General features: G+C 40.7%; 1 protein-coding gene across 52 annotated transcripts in view, besides 1 other annotated feature; it reads right to left on the reverse strand.

Moving 5' to 3' along the window:
- Positions 1 to 14181, reverse strand: part of SYNRG (synergin gamma) — a 94612-nt gene that overhangs the window by 19557 nt on the left and 60874 nt on the right. For 17 of the 52 annotated variants that reach the window (XM_017024081.3, XM_047435226.1, XM_017024102.1 and 14 more), the window contains 5 exons: positions 7609 to 8202; positions 6017 to 6180; positions 4829 to 4882; positions 3961 to 4057; positions 1616 to 1764 (listed from right to left, as the gene is read on the reverse strand). In XM_017024081.3, coding sequence (XP_016879570.1) covers positions 1616 to 1764; positions 3961 to 4057; positions 4829 to 4882; positions 6017 to 6180; positions 7609 to 8202 — 1058 coding nt within the window. The remainder of the gene's footprint in view (positions 1 to 1615; positions 1765 to 3960; positions 4058 to 4828; positions 4883 to 6016; positions 6181 to 7608; positions 8203 to 14181) is intronic. The other 35 variants (XM_047435246.1, XM_047435245.1, XM_047435242.1 and 32 more) reach the window with 4 other exon arrangements.
- Positions 7320 to 8519: an enhancer, noted in NCBI's record as "MED14-independent group 3 enhancer chr17:35901785-35902984 (GRCh37/hg19 assembly coordinates)". NCBI's record gives its function as "activates an origin of replication core promoter dependent on BRD2, BRD4, P300/CBP and CDK7 cofactors, and independent of MED14, by STARR-seq in HCT116 cells {active_cell/tissue: HCT116}" and the evidence as "EXISTENCE:reporter gene assay evidence [ECO:0000049][PMID:35650434]".

Below are 14181 nucleotides of genomic sequence, written 5' to 3' on the forward strand. Positions count from 1 at the left end.
CTATAGACCGGGTTATGAGACTGGTTAATTTTTGTATTTTTGGTAGAGACGGAGTTTTGACATGTTGCTCAGGCTGGTCTCAAACTCCTGGGCTCAGGTGATCCGCCCACCTCAGCCTCCCCAAAGTGCTGGCATGACAGGGGTGAGCCACTGCACCTGGCTGCTTGAATTTAGATTTTTAAAAGAATTTCATTATCACCAAGTAAACATAATTTTATCTCTTTTTTCAAATATTAATACTCCATTTCTTATTTCACTTGCCAGAACAGTATTTTTTTTTTTAATTATCTACATACAATTTTAGGTTAGAAAATGAGAAGTGATTCAAGGGAACAAGAAAAAGTTTTGGAAATTACTTAAACTCTTAAAGACTTTAATATTACAAACCAGAAGCAACATGACAATGGTGAGAGGATGTGCTGCTGAAGACATGTAGTTGGGGTAGCTGGGTATCCACCTGGCTATCAGTTCAGAAAATTAGAACTGCTTCCTCCCACACAGCTGCAATCCCATTCAGATGGGTCGCAGAGTTCCATGTTAAAAAAAAAATTGGAATAGCATATTTATTCCAGCTGTGGAAGGAAGATAAACTTCTGACTATTGTGAAATAAAGGATATCATCAGAGACAAATTGAATAGGTATGAATATATAAAAATAAAATAGTTTTGCCCAATGAAATGTAAAAAAGGGACAGTAATAGAGGAGGAAAATAGCTGATAAACGTTTACAAGCTTATATATATGTATATAAATCTATTACAAATATGAAATATATAAGGTCAATAACCATATTCCAAGGAATAAATGGTCAAATGGTCAGAAGAGTCCAATCCGTTTATACACAAAGGAAACAGAAATAGTAAATTGTCATTTGGAACACTGCAAAGCCTCTCATGAAATTAAAAAAAAAAATGTAAAAAATACCTTAGGGAATAATTGCATGCTTGTTAAATTAAGAAATTGATAGGACATAATGTAGAGAAATGTATCCATGTACTTACATATTTCTGGTAGCATTGCAACCAATATAAGCTATTTGGAAAGCCTTCTAATAAATGTAACAACAGCTACATACGCATGCATGCACCTGTGCAGACACACACACTGACCTCCTAGTTCACTTGGAGGAAATACATCCCCACAAAGGAACAGTGATTTGTCTATTCAGAGAACTACTCGTAACAGGGAAAAATGAAAATGACCCAAGAACCTAAAAAAAGAAGGGCTAAACAAACTACAGGATGGCAACATGAGGTATCATATAGCTTTTTGAAAGGACACGTATGGGGACATAAATAACTAGAAGTGCAAAGGGAGTATCTCAAACCACTGCTTTGCAAAACTTCCGTGTATTATGTGAATTAAGAAAGGTGTAGCCAGAGTGAATGTTTTCCTGTACTGGTTTTTTCCTTAGGTTCACTGGGCCTTAGAGAGATCAGAAGCCCACCTGGTACTGTTCAACTGACCACACACCTGTGATCTCCCTCCTTTAATATAACATGCTCCAGTTGGCACCTCCAGCCTCTAATAAGTACCATCATAGGAATATACACTCTGCTTTACAACTTAGGTTTCTGGAAAGGAAAGCAACTGCTGAGTTGTCTCATGGGCTTACTGTGAGTGTGGCGAGTGACATGAAGCCGATTAGGTTATTCCATACTTTATCGATGTCCTTCAGCAACTGCTGGAGTTTCTCACTGCACACTGCAGTGGCTTTTATCCCCAGCTCCACACGCTTGGTTACCCTGTACACTTCAACAACACCTGACGGGATGAGAGAGCAGAGAGAGAGTGTTGGCAGTGGAGACACAGAGGACCCAGACAGGGGAGCATTATTGCTTGCTGATATCTGTGAGAAACAATGGGTGTATCTGGACAGAGGTGTACTTACTATTCTTTGGGACCAATCCACTTCTCAATGCTGCTGTATAGCTTACTGGTAAGAGCATAGAAGCTGCACTGCTTGGGTTCAAACCCCAGCTATGCCTCTTACTGGCTACATGACCTTAGGCAAGTCACATAATCTCTCTGTACCTCAGTTTCCTCATCTGTGAAGTTGGGATGGTAACAGTAGCTCCTCCAAGGATGGTTGAGAGGATTAAATAGGGTAATATGGTAAAAGGCTTACAACAGTGCTTGGAGAATGGCAGGCACTATGCAAGTTATTAGCTTTTGTTTTTTGGGAGGTTTATTTATGAGTCCATCTGTTTGAATCTGGGAAATCCCAATAAACTAGCTGAAAATGGGGATAGTAAAAATTTAAAAGAATCTAAATGTTAATAGCATCACAAAGTAATGAAGAAACATCTCACCCCTCTGAATCTGAAGGTCTTACAAACACTTTGACTTCACTTATCTTTAAACACATAACAGGATGCAGAACAGTTCTTTTCCTATGGTCTCTAAATTGTGGTTGAACTCTTGAAGCAAGGATGAGAGGTGCTAAGTACCTCCACATTCTAAGGACAGCCACCAGACACATCCCTAACCCCTGCAATGTAACAGTCACCAAAGACATGACCCCGATCTCTCTAAGTGAACACTGGAGGAATTCCAGGGGATCTTCAGAGCGGGGCCTCAGCAGCCCTGTGTCAGCACTACGGCTTTTCTTCTTCCTTTCCCAAGAGAGGGGCAGAAATTACTGCCCACCCTAAGCCAAGTGAGGGGGCTTCTAAGAGAATCTTCCATAGATACAAGGATACTAGGAGAAAAGACAGGTGCCCCATTTCCTGGTGGACATCTGCTTATGCAGAACTGTGCCTGTTTGAGCAGGAAAAGAAGACCCCAAGTGAGGTGGCAGGAGTAAGGCAGAGACTACATCCCTTCACTCTCCACTCATCCAGCAAATATTTTTGAGTGCCAACTACGTGCAAGACACTAGATTAGGTGTTGGGGACACACCAGTGAACAAAACAGACCAAAATCCTTGCCTTCTTGGAGGTTCATTCTAGTGAAGGGAGACAGAGAGTAAAAACAACAAGTAGCTAGGTGCAGTGGCTCACGCCTGTGATCCCAGCACTTCGGGAGGCCAAGGTGGGTGGGTCGCTTGAGCTCAGGAGTTCGAGACCAGCCTGGGCAACATGGCGGAAACCTGTCTCTACAAAAACTACAAAAATTAGCTGGGTGCATGGTGGTGCACACCTGTGGTTCCAGCTACTTGGGAGGCTGAGGTGGGATGATTGCTTGCGCCTGGGAGGTGGACGCTGCAGTGAGTCATGACTACATCACTACACTCCAACCTGGGTGACAGAGTGTGAACCTGTCTTAAAAAAGAAAAGAAAAGAAAAGAATAATAAGTAACATATGTAAGAAATTAAAGGTAATAGGGCTAAGGAGAAAATCCAGCAGAGAATGGGATGGGAAGTACCGGGGTAGGGAGAGACGATACTCTTTGGAGAGATGGATGCTAGGAAAGATTTCACTCAGAAGCTGACATTTGAGTAAAGATTTGAAAAAGATTAGGGTCCAGCATGTGTGGCTCTGGCCACGGGCCAAGCCTGAGCTTGGGGAAGGGAGGAACACCGAAGTGGACAGAGACTACACTTTCCCGTTGGACTGACACATCAAATTGCTGCAGATGGCCAGGAGGTTAAGGACTCTGTGGTGTCATTAAGCGGTCGAGAGAAAGAATATAGAGTATGGTAAGGAATTGATGGGAGACAAGATGATTTTACTTTAGTGCATCGGTAGTTCAGATTCTTTGATAAACCAGTAACACAGATATAATTTTACATTTTTGCTATTACGTATATAACAAGGATGAGGAAACTTAGCCATAGAGACTTTTTAATTAAGTCCAATAGTTTACTGCCTGTAGCTTGAGTGTCTTACCCACAAATACAGATGCTTCTTACTGAAGTCATATGTAACTTGAGAGATCTAGCTTAAAATAATTAAAGGGAAAACTGAAAATAATGCAAAGGGCCATCATTTTCAATAGTAAAATATGAAAGAACATACCTAATAAATATTCCATGCCTTGAGCTGACTGAATTACTTCTGTGCAAACAGAACTACTACTGATTCCATTTAAGGTATCATTTGCCTTCTTAATGACCTACAAGAAATGAAATCACATCACCTTACATAACTGAGAAAAGTCATTGCAAATCAATTTACTATTAGTAGAAAACCCAACCGAAAAGCCAGGAGGTGTCAAAAAATCTCATTTTATCCTTGAAGAAACAATCCTCCATTTCTCTGGAAGAGAAAATATGTTTTTTTCCTTTTGTTTTGTTTTGCTTTGTTTTGAGACGGAGTCTCGCTCTGTAGCACAGGTTGGAGTGCAGTGGCAAGATCTCGGCTCACTGAACCCCTGACTCCCGGGTTCAAGTGATTCTCCTGCCTCAGTTTCCTGAGTAGCTGAGATTACAGGCACGTGCCACCACGCCTGGCTAATTTTTGCATTTTTAGTAGAGACAGGGTTTCACCATGTTGGTCAGGCTGGTCTCAAACTCCTGACCTCGTGATCCGCCCGCCTTGGCCTCCCAAAGTGCTGGGATTATAGGTGTTGAGCCACCGCACCCAGCCAAGACAGGTTCTTTAGCTTAAATATTATTTTGATTTAGTCAGAGTTAATGAAATCACTTTGTTATTTCTTAAACACAATGACAGATGAGGGGATGACTGACACATGAGCCGGTCTGCTATTGTAAGTGTGAAAGAAGCCTCACCTTAGATGCATGACTTCCACAGAGTTACTCTTTGCCCAGGGACATCCAAGTAAGGCTCTCCTGAAGTTTGCCTCTGTCAATTCAAATGAACCAAGAAGGCAAAAAGGCACAAAAGAGCACTCACATATGTGTGAACGCGTAAGTGACATACTCACATTCAGGGCACTCCCCAGGCATCTCTGCCATTCATATGCATATCTCTCATTTTCCTGTGAATTTGTTAAAAAGAACTGGGTTAAACACACAAACCTGGAATCTTCTATTGATGACTCTGTCAATTCAAAGTGCTTGGAGGACTTTCCTTTTTATTACGATCACTCTAGTTCAAGCAGTTTATGTTTTTTTTGTTTTTGTTTTTGTTTTGAGATAGGGTCTTGCTCTGTTGCCCAGGCTGAAGTGCAGTGGCATGATTTCTGCTCACTGCACTGGACGCAAGCAATCCTCCCACCTCAGCCTCCAGAGCAGCTGGGACTACAGGCACGCACCACCACATGAGGCTAATTTTTGTATTTTTGGTAGAGGTGGGGTTTCACCATGTTGCTCAGGCTTGTCTTGAACTCCTGAGCTCGAGTGATCTGCCCGACTTGGCCTTCCAAAGTGCTGAGATTACAGGCATGAGCCACCATGCCCAGCCGCAGTTTATCTTTTTGAACTCACTAATAACTATGTTAAATTACTAATAAATGTAACTTCTGAGCACAGGACCTGTGAGTCTAAGGGACATGCTTTCCAGCAGCTTCCCCCTGTGAGTGTTGCCTCATTTGTTCCATCAGTAACAGTGTAAGCCTTTCTTCGGAGGCACTCAGCATGTAGCTATCTGGTACAGAAACTGCTATTAAGCCACTGGCTTTCCACGCCCCAGTTATAACGCTGTGTGGCTGTGTGTGAGGACGTGGCCCATGTGCACATGTAACAAGGAGTAGGGAAAGGTGGGAAATTAAGTGTGTTGACCATAGGAGGAACATAGCGTGGCACTAAGATGCAGCAGACAGAAATAAAAAATTCAGAATATTTTCCCTGTCTCCTCTATTTTGAGGTTTCATGAAGACAATAAAGTCTAAGTGCTCAAGAAGAATTATACAAACACTGCCATCCTTGTGAAGTCCCATGAATAGTTTTGGTTTTAGGGTCACTGATTAGTTTCAGTGGGTGCCACACCTGGGAAATGTTTTCACCCAGGGCTAATGTTACCCTTGCCTCACTTTAATTACATAGTTTATGTCTGGTGCTTTGTGTCTTTCTGCCCCTCATTTTCCCCATGTGAAAGCTGACAGCATTCTTTCTTGGGGCCCTGTGTGCTTGCTGGTCTGTTACCCACCCCTTGTAGAAAGCTCTCCTCTCACCTCCACCTCTCCCGTCAGGTCTTTGTACTTGTCTCGGATGACGGGCAGGGCGGGCTTCTCATTCAGAGTATTGGAACGGTCTCTGAAAGGCTGCTCCAAAGCTGGAGAAGGAGAAGAACGGCTTATTTCTTTATCACCAAGGCTCAAACTCCTCTTGTGTGATCCTGGGAGAAGGGGATAATACAGTCAAAGGTTTTGGCTACTCACCTTAGTTCAGGCAGAGGCTCTTCCTCGCTACCACAACCCTCTTCTTTTTTTTTTTTTTTTTTTTTTGAGACAGATTCTTGCTCTGTCGCTCAGACTGGAGTACGGTGGTGTGATCTCGGCTCAGTGCAACCTCCGCCTCCTGGGTTCAAGCAATTCTCCTGCCTCAGCCTCCTGAGTAGCTGGGACTACAGGTGCACACCATCATGCCTGGCTAATTTTTGTATTTTTAGTAGATACACGGTTTCATTGTGTTGGCCAGGCTGGTCTCGAACTCCTGATCTCAAGTTATCTGCCTGCCTCCCCTCCCAAAGCGTTGAGATTACAGGTGTGAGCCACCGCGCCCAGCCCACGACCCTCTTCTTCAGATGCTTATGTCATGAGGCATTCACAAACACATTCCTCATTCATTCTTTCTGGGAAGCTACATGTTAAATCTTTTCTACTGTTCTCTCTTGCACGGTTTCCCTGCGTTTCGTTTTCAACATGACTCTTCTCTGATCTATCACAAGTCTTCCATAATGCCCAGTGCAGAATCACTGGAGTCTGGAGAACAAAAGCACCTTTCTAAATATCAGTATGTAAGAGTTGTGTGGCTTTTCCAGTCATTTGTTATGGATTTGTAACCGAGTTCCTTCACAGTCTCTCAATCCAGTTGAAATCAACGACCCCTCCTGTCAGGATGAGATTAAAGCAGAAGAGGCAAACTCAAATGCCTTCAGAGACCAGGCAAGTAAAGTGAACAACTTAAGTAGGTCCGCTGAGACAGGAAGCGGTGGGGATTATGGTAGGAGAGAGAGAATGACCCACCTACAGGGAGTGGTGCTCTTCGGCTCCAGCTGCCAACATATGGGACTGTAGACCTACTAGTGCCAGATATTATGACTTCTCAAGAAAAGTTGGAAATCCAGATTGGGAAATCTCATGTCTTTTAAATACTGGCAATTACTTCGTACTTAAAAATCTTTTGTGTGGGTCAATGTGATATGCAGGCTAGATGCAGATCCCCGGCCCCCACTTTGCAACCTTTGGATTAAAAGACATTATCTGTGCTCAGGGAACATGAGCGGAGCTAATGTGCCTACAAGTGGCTCGAATCCATTTATCTGGCTCTTTTAACACAGCACACCTCTAACCAAACGAGCTAATGAGCAATACCTGCATGCTGTGCTTGTTTTTAGCCCATAAAGCAGTTATCTGAGGGATGCTGATTTTGACTCCCGTCTCAGGGAAATCTTTATTATAGCTATCTGTAATTGACCCTGATTTCAAAGATTAGAACAATCTATTTCCTGCGAAACCAGAGAGCAACATTTTATTCTTAAGAACATCTAACATCTCAGTGGAAAAAAACCACAATAGTAAAATCTACCTTGGAAGCTACTCACCTTGAACAGAAAGGTCAAAGGTTGCCAGCTCACTTTTGATCATTTCTTCACTGGATTTCATTTTGCTTTGTGAAGTGGCTACTAAGAAGTCAAATTTGCTGATTTTGGGCTTTTCACTTTGAAACTCTCCAAAGTCATCCGAACATTCGTTCGGGGTTTCTTGAGAGGCACCACTGGACGCTGGGCTGGGACACGTGGCCTCCTGGCTCCGTTCAGCCGTAGGCAGGTCCTGTTTTGTGAAATCTTTATAGTCTCTGTTTTCATATTCCTTTTGCTCACTGGTCTGAGGAATCGTGTCTTTAAAACTGGCAAGAGCTGGGAAGGTGGTCTCTGGAAGAGCATCTTCACTTACAAAGGTCGTTACTTTGGAGAGAGATGTCATGGTGATGTTTTCAGAACTGCCAAATGAAGTCTCTTTCTTTTGAAGAATTGAGGTGGCTGAGGGGGATCCACTTCCTGCTGAGAGGACAAATGGAGAGAGTTTTCTGCCCTGAGTTGCATCATCCCTGTCTGACCAGTCATAGCTTGTAAGTGTGCTCACTGCAAAATTGCTACTGTAGCTTCCAAAAGCAGCATATTTTAAGTCCTCTATATCTGAAAGGGAAATAAGACCCCACAATTAGAGGCAAGCAATTTAGGCAAAATGCCCTAAACTCTGTAGAAGCAAAATGCCTAGCATATTTGATTAGTTTTATACTATGTTGAAATTAGCTAAATTTAGAGTTTGTACTAAAATTAAGAGTTGGGCTGTAAAATCTGATCTTAAAAAAACCCACATTAGCCTTGAGTTGGCATTTACATTTAGTTACCAAGAACCATTTTCTTTGGCTATAAAAATTACTAAAAAAAGATAGGAGGTTCATCTACCAAAGTATACACTGTTTGATATAAGATTAGGGTCATTTAATAAATTGTTCCCTTATCAACTTAAAAATGTACTGATATTCCTTGCCTAAAACATGTCTCCCTTCATCTTGACTTTGTTGGAAAATGTGCCTTTAAAACATGGTCATGTGAAATGCACATGGCAAAATAATTAAAAGTTGACAGTTTCTCAAAACTAAAATGAAAATAATGTCATCTAACTTTTAATCAATTATTAGGGTTTCTGTCATAATATTATCAATTATTAGAATTTCTGTCTCAGGCAATGCCAAACATGAGATTTTAATCAAGCAATTACTTACCTAGTTGTTATTTTGGTCAAATTGGACGTCATATTGCTGTGATGAAGTATGAGGAAAGAAAATCAATCTGATCTACTTTAGCCCTTAAAAAAATACAATAAAAAGATCTGGGTCCTGTTGGGCTCCACTTTTTCCTTCAACTATGTATCTACTCCCCATTTTTTAAAAAAAAAGGAAAGAAGAAAAAGAAAGAACTGCTGGGGCAGACGACTGATTTTACAAAGCATTCTTAATATATAGTTAAGTAATTTAAGAGGTAGCATAAAACAGCATAAAGAATGTAGGTTTTTGATTTGGAAAGACCTGAGTTCAACCTTGCTACCTACTATTTGTATGACACTAGGCTAATGATTGAACATTTCTGAACCTCAGTTTGCTTATCAGTAAAATGAGGAGAGGAGAAGACCATGTACTTGGAAGGACTGTGTTATGACCATCAACCATGATCATGTGTGTAAAAGGCCAGGTTGGTGCCTGGTGAGCAATACATAATAGCTAGTGTCTGCTCAGCATAGGTGCCACCAGCCTCAACTTGACAGTTAATTGCTGCTTTAGGGCCTACAGTGGAATTTCAAAGCAAAAATGAAAAGTCAACTCAGCATTTTAGTGGTGTTACTAGGAGAAAATTTTCTTGCTCATTTTCAGAAAGCAAAACCAGCCGAGACTGAATTTGGCTGGTGTGGAGAAGTGGGTTGATATGCATTTCGTTTCATTGTAGTCACTGTACATGAGGCAAGAAGGCCAAATATGAGACTCTCCCTCTGACAACCACATATGTGATTTACAAGGAAAGTGCTCAAAAGTTTTATGACCTAGATTTTCAGAACTAAGTCAATAAGTGAACCAACTTGGAGTCATTCTTCTCTTTCATTCACAGCAATACTGCATAATTTATGAGGGGTAAGAAGCTCCTGACATTTCCATAGCTCTTCTAATGGTATAATCCAAATCTCTCTTTCTTTGAGCTGTTAGGAAAGGGGTGCTAAGTGAATAATAAAAACAAAAAACACTAGTTGTACAAAAAACCAACCAGCAAAAAGCAAACAGCTTTCACAGAATGATGGCATATTTAAAAATTCTGTGGTGCAATGGTACCCTTCAAATGTGGTTTATAAAACAGAAGGAAAAAACGACTCAGGTGAAAAGTTTTTTTTTTTTTTTAATTGATTTTTTGAGATGGAGTTTCACTCTTGTCACCCAGCCTGGAGTGCAATGGCGCGATCTCGGCTCACTACAACCTCCGCCTCCTGGGTTCAAGCGATTCTCCGGTCTCAGCCTCTCGATTAGTTGGGATTACAGGCAGCCGCCACCACGCCTGGCTAGTTTTTGTATTTTGAGTAGAGACGGGGTTTCACCATGTTGGCCAGGCTGGTCTTGAACTCCTGACTTCAGGTGATCCGCCCGTCTCGGCCTCCCAAAGTGCTGGAATTACAGGCATGAGCCATTGTGCCTGGCCTCAGGTGAAAAATTTATAGTTTAGAATGAATGGAAAAGCCTTTAGCCCAAAGCTTTCTTGGTTTTTGCTGTAGTGATTTTTTGTTTTCGTTTTTTTCCCCACGATTTAAAGGGACCAGAAGGTGTCCAGACTCAAATGAGGTGAAATTCAGTCAGGGGATGATGCAGTTAAATACAGGACTATTCTTGGAGAGATACATTCAGAAAAATGTTTCATAATACAGATATTTCTATTACTAGGCCCGACGAAAGCGTTTTGGGAAACTATATTAGGAACTGCTTCCAGAATCTTTCCTATTAAAAGGTTAGCAGGCTGGGCATGGTGGCTCACAGCACTTTGGGAGGCCTGTAATCCCAGCACTTTGGGAGGCTGGGGCAGGTGGATCACCAGAGTTTAGGAGTTCGAGACCAGCCTGACCAACATGGAGAAACCCTGTCTCTACTAAAAATACAAAATTAGCTGGGCATGGTGGTGCATGCCTGTAATTCCAGCTACTCAGGAGGCTGAGGTAGGAGAATCACTTAAACCCAGCAAGCAGAGGTTGCAGTGAGCTGAGATTGCACCATTGCACTCCAGCCTGGGCAACAAGAGCGAAACTCCGTCTCAAAAAAAAAAAATAATAATAATAATAATTAGCTGGGCGTGGTGGCACGTGCCTGTAATTGCAGCTACTCGGGAGGGTGAGGCAGGAGAATCGCTTGAATAAGGGAATCGGAGATTGCAGTAAGCCAAGATGGCACCACTGCACTCCAGCCTGGCGACAGTTTGAGACTCTGTCTCAAAAAAAGGAGACAATTTTCCTAGAAGCAAATGATAAATTTAATGAAAAGATAGCTCCAGTTCAAACACTGCAATCAAGATATTACTATGGTAATAAAAAGATCTTTCTGTGCAATTATGCAACAAGAAAATGTCTTTTGAAAAACTAAAATGACTAATATAATCAGGTAAAAGGCATTACAGGGAATAAGGGATTGCCTAAGCTGAGGCATTTTTAAGCATTTTTAAAATTTCAGGAAATCTTATTTTTGTTAAAAATGATACGCCTGTAACATCTTGCCTTTTGGAGCAACTCCCAGAAAAGACTAAATGAAAGACTAGGAAAGCAAATGAAAGACTTAGAAATATTTTATACTTAAAATGAAGAGCAAATATACAAGAGTCACTAAAATCAAGCCTCAAAATTGAGTTTTAAATTTACTTTTGCTTATTTGTTGGCTATTATAGTGTGAAAAAGTAATTTCGTAAAGTGTAATTCATTTGAACACCAGTACTGATGGTACATAAGGAATGTGAGACAGAACACCGTGCCCCTAAACTTAGAATTTATAAACAATATAATTACAGGGCAGTATGTTCTGGCATAGCAAATATACGTCAACCATTAACTAAGAAAAATGTGGTACATCAGTTCATTGAAGGTAGCTTAAAGTAAGAAAATTCTTCATTTCCCCTGTTAATAGTTCTACATTTCTAAGCAGTCCACTTATCGGTATTATTGTATAATGGTCTTAAAAATATTAAAGATTATGTAAGACCTACAACATAAATGATAGAAAAAATGATGTGGAATAACCCACATTTTAGTTTGTAATCACTGAAGCTAGTATAGATGGATTTTCAATTTGATAGCCGAATTCTGAAAATTGCAAGAGAAAAAGGAAAAAGAAAATGGAGAATGAATGCAATAAAATGAACAGAAAATCACTACTGTATTTCCAGTTCTGCTGCAAAACTCCTAGGCTGTGCTAGGCTGACTGCATTTGCACACAGATAATATGCCAAATTGTTGTTTTAATGCATACATCTGTTTGCAATCAGGGATGTCCTATTACAAAGGCCAAAGAAATAAATGTATACGATCTGTTTTCCATCATGGATCTCAAATCAAAACACATATTTCTTGCTTATGCTGGCAAGTAACCCTATCAGTCTCTTCCATAACCTCTATTCAAATCTCTTTTGAATAGATGTTGTACATGAAAACGGTATTTTTTGGAACAAAGAATGTTGGCTGCTACTACAGGACACAGACGGCCAAGCTCATTCCCAGGGACATTTGCTAAAGCTGTTAAGTATATGCCCAGGTGAGGAAGAGTTACTGGCTTTTGAAGGAGTTTGGAGAAAGAAGAAAGGAGATATATGTACAAATTCCACTATTCTCATTTTATATAGCAATAAAAATGTTCATTGGACTAAGATATATATTTTAATTTACAGTACTCATGTAATCTAAACTTCATTTACTAAAGCAAACCATAAAATACTTGTACATTTCAGTTTCTCTCTACCCTGGGCCCTAATCTCCCTTAGTCCCTATTCTATCTTTGATCTACCTATGAGATCAGTCATATTCATATTCTCTATTAACTAAAAAACCTGGTCTGTGTCCTATAAGTCTCAAACACTGAAGAAAACAGGAATGAAAGTGATCACAGTATAAGTGACAGGCTGAAAAATGCTGCTGTTTAATTGCCTTCCAGTGTTTTCTAATCTGTATGAAAATTTCTTGTTCTTCATTTGTACTGACTCACACAACTTCATGGTATAAATTATATCCACACTATCTAGAAGCACCTTTGGGTTTCTGTGTTAGTGTTTTAAGTTCAAAAAAGAAAACTGGAAATCCTGTGGATATTTTAAGTTAGAGGAAGACAGAAGGCCAAGGAATGGTGTCAGGATACACAGTGGGACTGCCCCTGGTCATCAGTAAAAATCTCACCAAAAAGACACCAAATGAACACAGAAGGCAGGAAGTGCAATTGAGGCCTTTTGGTTCTTTGCATTATTTTAGGATTTAGCACAGGTTTTTTGATATTGCCAGTGTTCCCTTCATGTTCATTTGCTGCTTTTTTTTTTTTTTTGGAGATGGAGTCTCGCTCTGTCGCCTAGGCTGCAGTGTGAGTGGCACAATCTCAGCTCACTGCAACCTCCACCTCACAGGTTCAAGCAATTCTCGTGCCTCAGCCCCCCGAGTAGCTGGGATTACAGGCACGAGCCACCACACCTGGCTAATTTTTGTATTTTTAGTAGAGATGGGGTTTCACCATGTTGGCCAGGCTGGTCTCCAACTCCTGACCTCAGGTGATCCGCCTGCCTTCGCCTCCCAAAGTGCTGGGATTACAGGCGTGAGCCACTGTGCCTGGCCGTCATTTGCTACTTCTAAAAATCAGCAGGGATTCTGATGTGAACAACAGAGTGACTATAGAACAACAGATACATAGGTATACTTTCTCAGGCACTGATACATGAAGTGAAGCACTAACCATATGTTACTTGGCATCAGGGTAAACAAAACAGTATTTTGTTTAAACCTATAGCATAGAATTCTTCAAGTCTTTTTCGCAAAAGAAGTTTAAGTCATTACATTATATTAAAACTACCTCCCTAAAAAGTAATGTTACTTTGGAAATACTCATTACTCAATTTGTGAATGTATGCTTTACACACAGTTACATTCAGTCATTTTCTGCAGCCTGCTCAGATAAATGCAGAAAAGAGTTAAAATAAAGCAGTCCTACATGGACCAATCTAGCATTACAGAATTCCACTGACAAAGAAATTCCTCAGTCAAAGCCATCAAGAGATTGGTTTTATAAATAGCACGGGAAAATCCAAAATAAAGGGCAGCTGGCATTATCACTAGATGGAAGCTACACTAAGATCTCTTTCTTTCAAATTTGTTAGGAAGCACATATCATAAATAAAATATAATGCATTTACACAAGGTTTTTGAAACCAAGTATTATTCAACTTTTTAAAGCAGTATGCTCTGGAAAGTGCTGTATTTTGAATGGCAGGCCTGGCTTTTCTCAGAGTTAACCTAAACCTCTATATGCAACTTTTCTTTCTTAAATGGCATATTTAAGACACTACAAGTGATCTCTTAGGAGTCCTATTCAAAATCCTCATCTTCTTCTAGGCCGGGTG

Source organism: Homo sapiens, chromosome 17 (genome assembly GCF_000001405.40).
Source record: "Homo sapiens chromosome 17, GRCh38.p14 Primary Assembly".
Taxonomy (NCBI): Eukaryota; Metazoa; Chordata; class Mammalia; order Primates; family Hominidae; genus Homo; species Homo sapiens.